General features: G+C 43.7%; 1 protein-coding gene across 38 annotated transcripts in view, besides 1 other annotated feature; it reads right to left on the bottom strand.

Annotated features, from left to right (window-relative positions):
* The window catches only part of TANC1 (tetratricopeptide repeat, ankyrin repeat and coiled-coil containing 1), a 264,020-nt gene that overhangs the window by 139,221 nt on the left and 109,994 nt on the right, over window positions 1–14,805 (bottom strand). Inside the window, exon 1 of one of the 38 annotated variants that reach the window (XM_017005143.3) lies at window positions 3,493–3,855. The exons of 36 other annotated variants lie outside the window; for them this stretch is intronic. In XM_017005143.3, the coding sequence (XP_016860632.1) occupies window positions 3,493–3,619 (127 nt within the window). In that variant the 5' untranslated portion in view covers window positions 3,620–3,855. Of the gene's footprint in view, window positions 1–1,635; window positions 3,856–14,805 lie in introns of those variants that run through there. One more of the 38 variants, NR_146421.2, reaches the window with a different exon arrangement.
* Window positions 2,320–2,599: an enhancer, noted in NCBI's record as "active region_16682". NCBI's record gives its function as "activates an Ori minimal core promoter by ATAC-STARR-seq in GM12878 lymphoblastoid cells {active_cell/tissue: GM12878}" and the evidence as "EXISTENCE:reporter gene assay evidence [ECO:0000049][PMID:35858748]".

Raw genomic sequence — 14,805 nt, 5'->3', positions numbered from 1 at the left:
CGTGAACAATACAATATTGGTTCTGGGCAACAAGACACCAGAGATTCTCCAGTAGATGTAACATTCCTCAGCAGAAGCTTAAAGACATTTAAGAGGAATTAAAGATGTTTCACTGCAACAACCAGCACAGCTGGCATATTTCTTAACCCTTGAATAGATACTGTTTTCTTTTAACTATGACCTATTTTATTCCCCACCTTGATTAAGTGATGGGAAGCACATTTCAATCACCCTTCCTGTTACTGCAGGCAGAAATGCCAGGTAGGACGATGCAACCTCTCCAGGGTATGAAAACTATGTTATCAATGACTAGTAATTTACCTCCTCCAGCTTCACTGGCAGGTGTTTCCATTGGAACATTTACACACCACAGACAGTCCCACCTACCCCAAAATGCTTTCCATCGCACAGCATCAAATGCAATCACACTGTCTCAGATGGGAGACTGGGGCCTGGAAGGTAACCCTGAGGAACAGGGATCACAGCTAGAACCTCCCCACAACCGGTCAGCTCAGGCTCTAACATTCTCACCACTTCACACGTTTAAGAGCTTTAATTTGGGGAAAAAGATAGAGATCCCCAAAACGACACATTTTTAGTGAGTATTTTAAATACATAAGGCGTCAGCACACTTTGCTACAAAGGGTATGACAGTAAATATTTCAGACTTTGCAGGTTACATATAGCCTCTGTCACTCATACACACACACTCCTTTGCTTCTTTTAAAATCATCAATTCCCTTAAGTCCAAAAATAAAAGTCCAGAAAGGGCAAGGGGACACACAGACATCTATAAGAACCTCTCTGTTCGTAATAAATAAAAATATATACGCATACAAGTAAGTCAAAGTCATAGTTTGCAAAGATAACAAAATTATCAAAGGGAATAAAGCCATCCAATAAGGCGTTTTAAATTGGCAGAAATGGCTTTTGATAACAGTTCTTTATTTTAAAATGTTTTTACCATTACAGGCTGTGAAAAGGGATTTCAATTCATAATGGAAGAAAATGTCAATCTGGGAGATGAATGTTTAAAGGCAGCTATGCAGAATGGCAACATCCAACATCACAGATTAAAGTACATAGAGTGCAGCATTAGAGACAGCTTTAAAAAATGAGGGCAACGAAGGCAAGGAGATGAAAGTAAAAGCATATTTCAGGAAGGGAAGGCCTGAGAAAGGCAAGGGTGCACTTAGACACTCAGGTAAATAGGTCTGCAGAGGCAGGAAATAAGATTTCCATTTATTGTGCCACTGAAGTGGCTGAGGTGGGGTGGGGCGATAGAAGCTTAGAATAGAAAAAGAAAGATGTTCTGTTTATCCAGCTCCAGAAAACGGAACTTGTGCAATGCATTTAACTAGGGCATTAAATGTGTTAGGGCACCTTTTGTGCAGTCCCCGCCTTACAGTGCACTAATGTTTCTTAAAGGTTGTATAACCACATAACTCTACATACATACACACACACACCCCCCCCTATATTTACAGAAAACTGAAAGATTTCTTCCACAAGATCCAGTATCATTTTTGGACCCTTCAGAAGACTACAACTAAAAGCACTTGAAGCCATTTTATGTCTTATAGAATCTCCTAACATTCAGGCAGAACATTTTGAAAATAAATGCATCCAAGAAAACAATTTTCAAAAACTTTATTCAGACAATCATGATTAATTCTCAAACAATACCACTAAGAGGCAAGAAAGCAGCTAACCCCTAGGGTACAAGAAACCTAGCCAACAGGACAGCATATCCTTGTCTTCAAAAATCCACCCAGTGGGATCTAAACAGAGATCAGTAAATACTGTCCGCATGGTTTTATTCTTAATACTCAATGGTTATAGAACCAAACGTACAAATGTGCCTTATCCTGAAACAGATGAGTAAACAGACTGGCATTTCCTCTCTAATTGTCAAAGTTTTCCTTTTAAGACATATCAGCATGCAAGAGTTTCTGTGCTTTAAAAATAAATGACCTCAGAAAAACTCCCACCCCCAAACTCCCAGAGGGGTGCAATTTAAAATAAATGCTCTTTTTATTTTTTAGATGTATTAGGTGCCAGGACAGGGTTCTGGGTGCATTATACATATATTATTTAAACTTAATCTTCACAGCCACGCCACAAATTAGGCATTGCTATTAGCCCCCTTTTCAGATGAAGAAACTGAGGCACAGAAAGGATCAAGTATCTTGCCCAAGGCCACTCTGGCATATATCAGAGCTGAGTCTGAACCCAGGCAGCGGGATCCAGAGTCCACTGTCTCAGTATTGCTCCCCTTGGAGAAGGCTACTGAGAAAGGCTTTCAACATTATGTCATTTTGCATACTTAAGAAGGAAAACCAAAAATAGTATATGTAGGTCTACGCACAGTACTGGGCCACCACAGAGGGGAAGAAAAAAAAAACAAAAAAACACCCTGTTCCCTCGTCTATTTTCACTTTTCATGCCGGCTGGTTAATTAGCTCCACAGCACTCCTGCAGCACTCCTTTTGGGAGGTACCCAGGCCCAGTGATCATTAATCTTCTCTCAGTCACACCTCATGCTGTCACCATACAAGCGAAGTGGATCCAGGATAGGTGTTTAGTCATCAAGCACCCTAGTTTCCTCTCCTCTCCGTGGGTACTGGACATTTATTAACTCTTGCAGCATTTGGGCCTGCTGCTTCTGCAGCACAGTGGCGCTGGCTCCGGTCATTCTGCCTGGCCCAATGAAGGGTGAAGTCACGAGCTAGCTGTGGTGGAAGGCAACCTGGCAGGATTCACCGTCAATCTGCATGGAATTTGGGATTCTACATTTCCTTGCCAGCACAGACTTGTCCAGGTCTACCAGTCCTGTGGAACACACTGCAGCTTGAATTCCGTGGCTCTGCCAGGCCTACTGATGCTACACCTGATTCAGTTTCCAACACCCTCCACACAGAGGGACCCCCGATCCCTGCCGAGCGAGGCTGTTTTAACTGGTTGGGAAAATGGCACAGGTGATGGTCCTTAAAGCTCACCAAGTGATTTTACTGTGCAGCCAGGACCGAGAGCCACAGAAGCAAGAAGGTGGTCAAAAAGATCTGGAATGCTTATGCCACTTCCCAAGACAAAGAGGTCGGGAGAAAAGGAACTACAAGGCCTACTGTACTAAGTAATGCAGATGATTAAAATAAAAGTTTCCATTCCAAATGTACATTCCTTGAGGGTATATGTGTATATATATGTGTATCTACATATGTATGTAGGCACACACATTATGTTTACATCTATACAAACATGGACACTTGTACATGCATGGAGGGTCTCGAGAAGGATACACATCGAACCAGTAGCAGTGGCTGCCTCTGGGAATGGGAACTGATCAACTGAAGCATGGGTGTTAAGATACACACGTTTAGATGGTTTATATTTTTTCCTATGTGCACATTTCCTGTAAATATTTAAATGTACATTCCCAAGGATTGAGCCATGTGTCAATTTTAAGATCTTTAGGATAAATGGGCCACCTACTAAGGCCTAACTTGGCAAGTGGGTGAAATGAAGCTCTATTCCACAAAGCATGTGCTCGAAGTGACATGTGTGTAGGCACTGCTCGGAGGCAAGCTTGTTTGCAGCTGACTACAGTGGACACGGGCATAACAGGAAGAAGAGTGCCAGTGCCCTGCTCTGAAGGTTGGATGCCAGCAGTGCTGAGCCTGCCACAGTCCTGTCATTGATGGGCTCTGGGTCAGCTGGCATTTCTTCTCTTCCCACCCTTCTGTTTCTCTTCCAGGTCCTGGTCATCTCTGCTGTTGGTGGTTGGGTGTGGGCACACTTGCAGATGCCTGCTCACATGGGACATGGATAATCCAAAGCACTAGGAAAACATCCAGTCTGCCAGGGAGGAAAGAGGGAAAGAGAGACATGAGGGTTGGAGTGTAATGGGAGGACAGGGAAGAAAACAGATGCTAAAAAGGAAGGAAATGAGGCAGGACAGGACCAAGGAATTGAGAAGTAAAGAGAAGAGGGGGAACAGCCGCTCAAGGAGCAGGGAGGGGTGGAGGTGGGGTGCAGGCGATAAATGCATGAATTCCTGTTTCTTTTTAAAACTGCATCTGGCTAGCAGTCCTGGCAAGGCCTCTCCCAATACCCTAGTAAAATATCTAACTACAAAGTAAGAAAACTCACAAGTGCAAAAAAACCATACTAAAAGGAAGAGACTGCCAGAAAAGGAAAGAATTTCCAGTAATTTTAAAGATGACAAAAGGGGATCCTTTGTTGTTGCAATAAACAATTGGTGGCCTAACCACACTCCAGTCTATAAAACATCAGAGCCCAGCCCACTGTGGAAGGGGGAGGATAGCAAACCCCTGACCCTGGAGTCGGCCTCTGTATCTCCACCCTGTGCCCACCAGCAGGAACAACAGCTCCAGATCAGTAAAACCTGGCTGATTGCATCTTTTCTCTTTTGATAAGCCTCCCCCAACCACCACCCAAAATAATCAATGACAGGACTGAGAAAACATAGCTTATTAGTGAAAGGAAAGAGAACATCTGCTTGAACACTCAAAGACGACTGAGAACAAAATTCTGTGAACCGCTTGGTACCATCAATAGAATATAAGATGGCCTGGCCTCCAGACCCTTCATAGAGTGTTTCTTTCCTGATGACAATCCATACCGGGGGTGTCTAATCTTTTGGCTTCCTTGGGCCACATTGGAAGAAGAATTGTCTTGGGCCACACGTAAAATACACTAATGATAGCCGATGAGTTTTTTAAAAAAGTCACAAAAAAAGTCTCATAATGTTTTAAGAAAGTTTACAAATTTTTGTTGGGCCGCATTCAAAGCCGTCCTGGGCCTCATGTGACCCACAGGCCGTGGGTTGGACAAGCTTGAGCTATACTACAGACTAAGGCATTCTATACTATATATCTATACTATAGACTATTAAAGATAAGGAAAGAAAAGCAGGAAATTTAAAAAGCATGATCCACATTTCAGGTAGTCAAGGAAAACTGATACTATAGAAAACTTAGTCCATGATAAAGAGAATAAGCTCGGGAAGGTTTCCCCAAGAAGCAGAGGGAAGGAGCTAAAATTTTAACAATGTGAGAAAATATTATAGATATGGGAAACAAAAACCTTTCTGAGAAGAAATAAGGACAAGATAAAGTAATTTTTCTAAAAACCTAAGAAAAATTATCACAGGTTTCCAGGTAAGCATTAAAAAGGTGTTTTACTAGGATACAAACAAAACCTCGGAGCCTCTGAAAGGCACCAGAGCCCGACTGCACTCAGAACCCTTGTGTTAGTTTCCTGGGGCTGCTGTAACAAAGTTCCATAAATAGGGTGGCCTAAACAACAGAAGTTTACTTTCTCACATTTCTGGAGGCTCCAAGTCCAACATCAAGGTATCAGGCAAGGCCATGATCTCTCTGAAGGCTCTCGGGGAGAATCTAGTTCATGCCTTTCTCTTCCTTTCTGGTGTGGTCAGCAATCCTTGATATTCCTTGGATTATAGATTCATGCCTCAAATCTCTGCCTACGTCATCACATCACATTCTCCCTCTGTGTCTGTGTCTCCTAAGGACAACAGTCATACTAGATTAGGACCCACCCTAACCTAGCGTGACTTCATCTGAACTTCCTGACATCTGCAACGAGCAAATTTCCAAACAGGATCACTTTAACAGGTATCAAGGGTTGAGACTTCAATGTACCTTTTTGGTGAACACAATTTCACCCACAACCCTTGTCCCCTCCCGTCCAACACCGAAAGCCTGAAATCAAAAAAGCAACATTGGCCAGGTGTGGTGGCTCACACCTGTAATCCCAACCCTGTGGGAGGCAAAGGTAGGAGGACCACTTGAGCCCAGGAGGTTGAGGCTGAAGTGAACTGTGATTGTGCCACTGTACAGCAGCCTGGGCAACAAAAGGAGACCCTGTGTCAAAAAAAAAACAAAAACAAAACAAACAAACAACAAACAACGACAAAAAAAAAAAAAAACGGAAAAACAAAAAAAGCAACATCTACAAAACTTGAGGGAGAAAAAAAGCACGGCCAAATCTTCTAAAACTGCACCAGGCTATTATACATGATATCAACCAGAAAACATTCTCAGATACTCAAAAGCTCAGAAAATGTACAACCCATTTATCCTTCTGAAAGAAACAAGTTCCTTCAGAGAAAAAACAGAATCCACTACTCAACAGTGGGGACATTATGGTTTTTAAAAAATATAAGAAACTGTATAAACCAATCCTGGCCTTCCAGCACTTCACTCAACTGCCCCTCTTCCACAGCCTTCTCTTTCAGGAACGGGCTTTTTGAACCACATCCTTCACCCCACAGTGCAGAAAGAATCTCTTACTTTATCTGGAGACCCTTAAAGCAATAACTGATGCTGCCTGCCAGAACTCGCTAACAATAGCTTACATTTTTCACGATTGGGATGCTGGGCAAGGAAAGCTCTCTTTACCCCCACCCACCCCTCTAAACAAGCAGAGTAGCACGGAACACCACAATGACTGTTTTCATTGCCAAGGAACTCAAATTAAAAAAAAAAAATCAGTTTACCATATGAACATTTTCAAAAACATGTAGAAAAAACATTTAAGCTAGTATACACAATCTTTTATAATGGAAAAATAAGTAAGATACATGACCCAAAAGTTCGAAGGCAGTCAGTAAGATGATGGTGGTTATTTTGAAGGGAGTGGAAGTATGAACGGTTTTTTCCCCTTCCTTTTACATTTTCAGTTTGACATATATTCTGACATGTTTTATAAAATAAAATATACTTTATTTTCCAGTGAACATTTATTTGAAACTCAAATTTGTATCCATCTCCCTTTATTTCCAGAGGTTCCCCTGCAAGCTGCCACATTGGACACCTGCCAAGTTCTTGAGGCTCCTGCTGTCATGAGTCCTCTTCCAGGAAGGTCTCACTTTTCCCCTATTCAGGCACCTCGAGCTATGCCCACTGTTGTTGCTCAGTCTGCCTGCCACACACTTGCCCTTGTCCATGTAGCTCCAACTGACCATATCCCAGATCTCTCTAATGTCAGATGGTCTTTCCTATTGATTGTTCTCACAATGAAGTTCTGGATCAGCTTCACCCTACAGACACTGCAGGGTCCAAGATCTAGTGCCTCACCCTAGGTGCTTCAAAGCACTTAAAAGGAGCCTCACTGCCCCAGCTATCTGCAATCTCAACCAGTTAATGCTTTAACATTAAACTTTCTCAAAAAAAAAAAATCCAAATACACCCTCTTAATTTATAATAACAGAGAACTCCACATTTTTTTCACAGCACTTTCTTGAAGGTGACATGAGAAATGACAACAGTAGTGGACCACCATGCTGCACCTGTCACGTCTATGTTAATAGTGCCCCCGGAGCTGTGCAATGAGGCCAACCCAGGGACAACAACTAACCACAGGATACCCCACTGCTAAAGCCATTCTCCATCCCAATTACTCACCAAGCCCTGAGATTACTGCCAGAGGCCACTTATCCTCGAACTTCACATACTGTTTCATTCCTGAGTAACATGACAGGATTTACATTGAGTACTGTTTCACCTATGTGTGTATGCCTGATAGAGTTTGAACATCTGCCCCTTTGAAATTTCATGTGGAAATGTAATCCGCACTAGGTGGGGCCTAGTGAGAGGTGTTGGGTCACGGGGGTGGATCCTTCATGAATGGCTCGGTGCCCTCCCAGCAGTAATGAGTGAGTTCTCACTCTATTAGTTCACTAGAGATCTGATTATTAAAAAGAGCCTGGCACCTCCTCCCTTGCCATGTGACATGCCTGCTCCCCTTGGCTTTCTACCAGGAATAAAGGCTTCCTGAGGCCTCACCAAAGCAGATGCTGGCACTACAGCCTGCAGAACTGTGAGACAAAATAACCCCCCTTTCTTTATAAATTACCCAGCCTCAGGTATTCCTTTATAGCAATGCAAAATGGACTAACACAATGCCCATTGTGTATATCGGCCCTAATAATGATGATCAAGCTGGCAGTTCTTAAGCCCTTCCTTTGTGTGCCAGACATCTTGCTAAGCACTTTACATCTATATATCAAGTCCATTTTGAGTTGCTATAAAAGAATACCTGAGACTAGGCAATTAATAAAGAAAAGAGAGTTCTTTAGCTCATCGTTCTGCAGGCTGAGAAGTTCAAGGGCAAGGCCATGGCTTCCCCATGCATCACAACACGGCAGAGACAGTCAAACGGGAAGTGGACACAAGCAAAGGGGAAAAGCTGAGAAGTATCCTGGCTTTGTTACAACCCACTCTCTCTGGAACTAATCCATTCCCATGAGGACTCACCCAGTCTTCCCAGAGCAAGAACTCTGACTTGTTGCAGGAGAACAGCACCAAGCCATTCATGAGGTTTTGGTGAGAACAAACCACAGCAATACATTAACTTGAATACACTAATTATTCACCCCATTCCATTTAAAATGACACTGTCATTGCCCCCTTGCTGCAGATGAGGAAATCAAGGCTTGGAGGAGGGCTAAGTTGCCTAGGATCCCCTACCCTGAAAGTGGCAGATCCGGAATTGAACCCAGCCAGTTTGACTCCGGAGTCAGAACTCTTAACCACAGTACCACACTGGACTGTCCCAGATAGCATATTCCCTAACCAAGGTGTATACTGAGCATGGAGCATTGCTTGGTGCTAAAGAAAGTCTGACTTAGCCCCAGATAATTTAGCAAGTCATGTTTCCCTGAGTGATAATTGTCAGGAACATTCTGTCATGTTGGACATGCTGACATTTTGGGGGTGGAAAAATAAGTGGAAGGGAAAAAGACTTTTAGAACAATACTCTAAGCAGTACACCACCCCCTCACTAACTACTCAAATCCAAACTCTGGCAGTCCCGTCAGCAAAGCTGTCTGCCAAAAGGCCTCCTTACAAGAGAAGGGAGAGAATAAAAGGGAGCTGCTACCATTTATCTTACTTCAACTCCTTACAAGGAAAACGGGATCATTTTGGGGGAAAAAATGCCTCAATGTTTCTAGGCAGTATTTAAAGTTTCTTCCCCACAAAAACATGTTCAAAAATACTACCAACTTAGCTCACATTCTAGAAAAAAGCAGACTAAATCTGCCGTGTACATGTGGCTATATAACAAGGTCTTTCCCAGGCCTGTATTGGGGGGGGAGCTAGGAGTGACGAAGAAAATGAAATGACCGAATTTTTTTTTTTTTTTGAGATGGAGTCTTGCTCTGTCACCCAGGCTGGAGTGCAGTGGCACGATCTCGGCTCACTGCACCCTCCACCTCCCAGGTTCAAGCCATTCCCCTGCCTCAGCCTTCTGAGTAGCTGGGATTACAGGCATTCACCACCACCCCCGGCTAATTTTTGTATTTTTAGTGGAGAGGGGGTTTCGCCATGTTGGCCAGGATGGTCTCGAACTCCTGACCTCATGATCCGCCCGCCTCGGCCTCCCAAAGCATTTGGATTACAGGCGTAAGCCACCATGCCCAGCTGATGACTGCATTTTTCTATATCTTATTTGTATGCATCTTGTATATTTTGTTTACTTTATCCCTATTCCACCATCAGCACCAAAAAAAAAAAAATTCACTGCTCAGTTTTCCAAACAGCAGTCTCAATGACATGTCTCGTAAAATATCTTAGCAACAATGTCAATATTGTCTGACTACAGCTAACCATATTAACATTCCATTCTAATCATGAATTCTCAAATATAAAATGGAATGTGAATTACTTACTTCATTCATTTTTTGAGTGTTACTCTGGGAAAAGAGCCCTCTAACAATTCTATAAATTGGCATGTAAATTAAGCATCAAAATTACGTTCAATAGCTATTACTTTTTGTGTATCTAACTTGCAAGTATCAGTATGAAAATAAGCAAATGTTGACAAGGAAATCAACATAAGTATAAGAACCAAACAAAATACACTGACAAATTACTTTGATCAAATACTCTTCCTTTGTTATTTCTCTAATGGAACCCTTTCACTCATCTGCTTGTATATTTGTATTCCAAGTTTATCTTTACAGTAACTGCCAAAAACAGAGTTTACTAGATAATGAGGGATCTTCTAAGAGTTTTTAAAGTCACATACAACATGGCTGGTGGGGGCAGGCCCTGTGGAGACACAGGAACAAACAGCATACCAGTGACTCCCAAACATGGCTAACCATTCAAAAATTGTTATTTAAAAAAAAAAAAATAGGCCAGGTATGGTGGCTCATGCCTGTAATCCCAGCACTTTGGGAGGCCAAGGCCGGCAGATCACTTGAGGCCAGGAGTTCAAGACCAGCCTGGCGGTCTTGAACCAACATGGTGAAACCCCATCCCTACTAAAAATACAAAAATTAGCTGGACATATGGTGGGTGCCTGTAGTCCCAGCTACTCAGGAAGATGAAGCAGGAGAATCACTTGAACCCAGGTGGTGGAGGTTGCAGTGAGCTGAGATTGTGCCAATGTACTCCAGCCTGGGAGACAAAGCAAGACTCTGTCTTAAATAAATAAAGAATAAAAATATAAATAAAAATAGATGCTTGGACCCCAACACTAAATTCGGTAGGTCTTAAGGGAATTTGAGTCACAAGGGCCTAGGTGAACCAGCCAGGTTTAGGAATCACTGCACTACACAATTACAGTAGAGCCCATTCTTGTAAAGCCAAAGGTGAACACTGACTCTTTGAATGTGCATGCATCTTTGAAGACACACAGGTTTCTGGTTTTAGGTCCCTGCATTCAGGCCTCATATCCCTGCCCCCTTCTGTCTCCTAGTGAACACATATACCCCAAGCCTGTTTACAGCAACGGTCCCTACAGCACTCTGCTAAGGACATGCCTATTACCATGGCTTTTTCCCCCATCTGCTCCAGATGGAAAGGCGAGGGTCATGTTTGCCACACAGACAAGTGAGCTAGGAAACAAAAATATCCTAGATGCCACCACTTACCAAGGTCAAAAGGAGAGTGTAAAGGAGCAGAAAAGCAAGCCAAAATGGTATAGAAATTACCTAAATTATAATAAAAGCAAACATTTGTAAGATGCTTACTGTGGTTCAGGCACTGTTCTAAGCACCGTCTTTTTTTTTTTTTTAACAAGTTTAAAACATGTATTTTAAATACAATTTACAAAATACTTAATCTGCTGACTCAGGAGCCCTCGGTACAGGGTTGGGTGGCAGTGGGCAGCTGCCCGCTACACCAGCAGAGCAAGACTGCAGGGGTGTGGCCCTCTCTCCCATGCCCTTCTGTTCAGACACCCAAGGGGCCTGTGTGCACCCCTGGGATCACACGACCAGAAAACAGGACCCCAGAGGTTTCTTTAGTCTCTGTTTACTAGGGAGGCTGAGTATAGCCCTGCTGGCCCATCTCTGAGCAGGGCACCCCCAGATGGGGCAGAGCAGGGTATGGCTTGGCTGGGCAGGGCAGGGCTGGGCAGCAGGTGGGCTCTGGAAGGGTCTGATGGTAGCATATAGGGTGTTGCCTCCTGCCTGCAGGTGGGGAGCACCCTGATCGAGTGGGCTGAGAAGGGCTGGTCACTGGACCTGGATCCCCCAGCTCCTTTGGTTATAGGCTAACATCAGAGAAGTGGCTCTTGGGAAGCGGTTAGCTGGAAGGTCTGAGGCCTGGCCCATGGGGCCAGGGAGGAGCTGGGGGAAGGGGACAGTACCGTGAAGGCAGATAAAGGGGCAGCAGCCTCAGGTTTCTGCCCCGCCCCTCCAATCTCTCTAGGGTTTTCCAAGCCAAAGCCTTTCACTTACTTTAAAATACAAAAGGAAAAAAAAGCATATAAGCAAAGTTACAGACAACTATACTCCCATACACAAAATCCAAACTGTTTTCTCATCTCCCATCAATTTCTCCCCAACACAATACAGTTGCCCGTTTTCTTTTTTAAACTTTTTCCTGCCACATCTCCATTTGGGAAGCTATGACTGCTGGTGGTGACATGCACACAGAGGGTAGACCCCATCTTCGGCCAGAGGGAGGTAGGAGCACCAGTCCCTGCCACATTCTCAATCCACAGACACCCACAGCCAGCCTTTACTTTGGCCCTACTAGATGGCAGTGGGGCAAGAACAGGTGGTCCCAGTGGCTAAGCAGCCAGCACTTCTGGCCTTCCCACCTAGACTATCTCTGTACCCTTCTCTAATTGAAAGGACAGTCTCACTTTGGGCCAGAAACCACCATTACATGAGGGATGGACACTATACATTTTGAATGTGGACACTTGGTTATGACAGTGCAACTATAAAGATAGCCAATTTTCTTCCTTGTCTTCTCCTGAAGATAATCCTCCCTCTTACTGACTGAAGCTCTGGTTCCAGCTCTGCTCACGGGCAATGCCTGGCTTTATACAGTTATAAGGCCATGCTATGGACTAGCTGCTGGCTCGACAGCTGGCCCTTCCTCCTGAGAGGAGGATGTGGTGGGACATGGCTTGCTGGGCCTGGCCTACCATTCCCACAGGGAGCCCGAGGTGGAGTGAGCCTGTGAAAATTAGCTTGCCACCTTGGCACCATAAGCTGCTCTAATCACAATACCATACCAACCAACCACTCCAAAACCTACCTGCTGGTCAGGAGTTGGGAGGCCGTCTGGCTGGCTGAGGGATAGGGCACAGTGCCACGGAAGGCATCAGAAACCCAAGAGGAGCCGGGCTGTACACAGAGCTGCTCTGGGCAGCTGCACTCTTAGCCTCTTCCACCTCAAGGAGCCAAAGCAAATCTCAGGCTCCAGGGGCAGAGGAGGAACTGTCTTCATTCCAGGCCCTCGCTCTGGAAAAAGGGGTGATGCGTAGCCTAGGCCTTTGGGGAACCAGTCTATCATCAATCTTTGCAAAGCTATTCTTTTTCCAACTTTATTCAGAATGCTCTGCCTTCAAGGTACAGATTTTACATAGGAAATATACCAGGTATAGTTACTGAGCTGGGGTCATCAATAGAGATGGAGCACCACAGACTCTTAAGAGTTCTAGCCATGCTAGAGTGGGAAGATCTATCCACCTTCTGATCGTACGGGGCAGAAGCCTCCAGGTCCTGGAGCCAGGCTTTCTCCTGGTTTTCCCTGTGCTGATGGCAAATACTGAACAAGTCTCACATCCTTTACTTCTAAGCCCAGAAATGCAGTCTCACTCCCTGACACTCTCTGCTCTCTTCTAGAAGCAGTAAGCCTGACTGGTAGGGAAACCACCCTGAGGGGTATGGGAAGGGGAAGTCTGTTCACTTTCCCTGTCTCCCAAAATACAAGAGGTGGGGTAACACCCTCCCCAGGCTCTCCGAGCCTACAGAGCTAGCCCAGTCTCCAGGCAAGGCCCAGATGCCCTGGGACTTAGCTCGGGGAGGGAGGTATAGGCATGGGGTGCCCATTTGTCCCGGGGGTTGCAGAGCCCTGCCCCTTTTCTGGGTGGCAGTAGGAACACAGAAGCTAAGGTCACCAAAATCCTATGTTTTTAGGGAATTTCCCAGAAACATTTTCAAGTAGACTACCAAACTACCCTTTCTCATTTAAAAATTCGTTAAACTTCTAAAACCCCTCCCATGCACTTCTTATAAATTAGATATTTGTCTAAACAAACAAAAATAGGGGCAAAAGGATATTTTCAAAGGAAACTTACTTTTTACATGATGAAGACATGCACTTGGGGGTGGGTAGGTGTGAGTTCTCATTTGTGTTTTGAAATCCCAAATTAATGAGCATGATAAACTGTTATTGCGGGCACTGGCTTTACCCTAAGTGGCACTGTCTGAGTCCGTGATGGGTTCCCTCAACCTTCCACTAACTCCGCCCACCCTTTCCCTTTCTATTGATTTGGGACAGCCCTTGTCAACAAAGCACTGTAATTTATTTAATCTTCACAATGGAGAGGACATAGATACTGTTATTATCCCCATTGTATAGATGCAGGTGAACCCAAGCAGCCTGGCTGCTATACTGCCCAAAACATAGGCTTTGGAGACAAACTAGGTTCAAACCATGGCTCTGACACTCAGTAACTATGTAGTCTTAAGCTAGTACTTTGACCTCTATTAATAAGCTATTGATGATGTAACTGTTTATAAACATGCAGCACACTGTCTGAAACACAGCAAACACTCAAAAAAAAAAAAAAAAAAAAAGACACACACACTTTTCAGCCAAGTGAGGTTGCTCACACCTGTAATCCCAGTTACTAGGGATGCTAAGGCAGGAGGATCGCTTGAGTTCGGGAATTCAAGATCAGCCTGGACAATATAGTGAGACCCCATCTCTTTAAAAAACAACAACAACTTCTCATAGTGCTATCATATTTTCTCCAAAAGATTCACTTTTTGCTGAACTGAGATTCACCTTCTGGTTTCTAATATCTTGAGCATTATCTCATCCCTCCCCCAAACATTTAAGTACCAAAAACCCCCAATATAAATCTAAATATCTCTACAAATATATTTTATTGTTCCTTGCTTAATGGGCATTTCCCAAAAGCAGGTATACCATAGGTTTAAAAAAAATACAAAAACAAAACAACCCTATATCTTCAACACTATCATGCCTGAAGTTTTTTAAAAAAATATTTAACCCTCATAATTACTTAATGATACAGAGCAATACTAACTTCATTTTGTAGGCAAGAAAACAGGTTCAGAAAAAATTATTCAAAGAAAACTGTAGGCATATTCAAACAGACTCTTACGTTACTTAAGTTTTTTGAAACCAAACCAGCAGAGTTATTCACCCTTAAGATGCTGCTTCCAGAAATCAGAAGGATTAGAGGTACTGTTGGAGGAGTCCAATAACCATGGTAACAATTTAATGGATGGAGGGGGAAAAAATCCTCCAGAATCTCTAATCT

This window comes from Homo sapiens, chromosome 2 (genome assembly GCF_000001405.40).
Source record: "Homo sapiens chromosome 2, GRCh38.p14 Primary Assembly".
Classification (NCBI taxonomy): Eukaryota; Metazoa; Chordata; class Mammalia; order Primates; family Hominidae; genus Homo; species Homo sapiens.
Note: the sequence above shows the minus strand (reverse complement) of the source record. Positions and strands in the feature narration are given on the sequence as shown.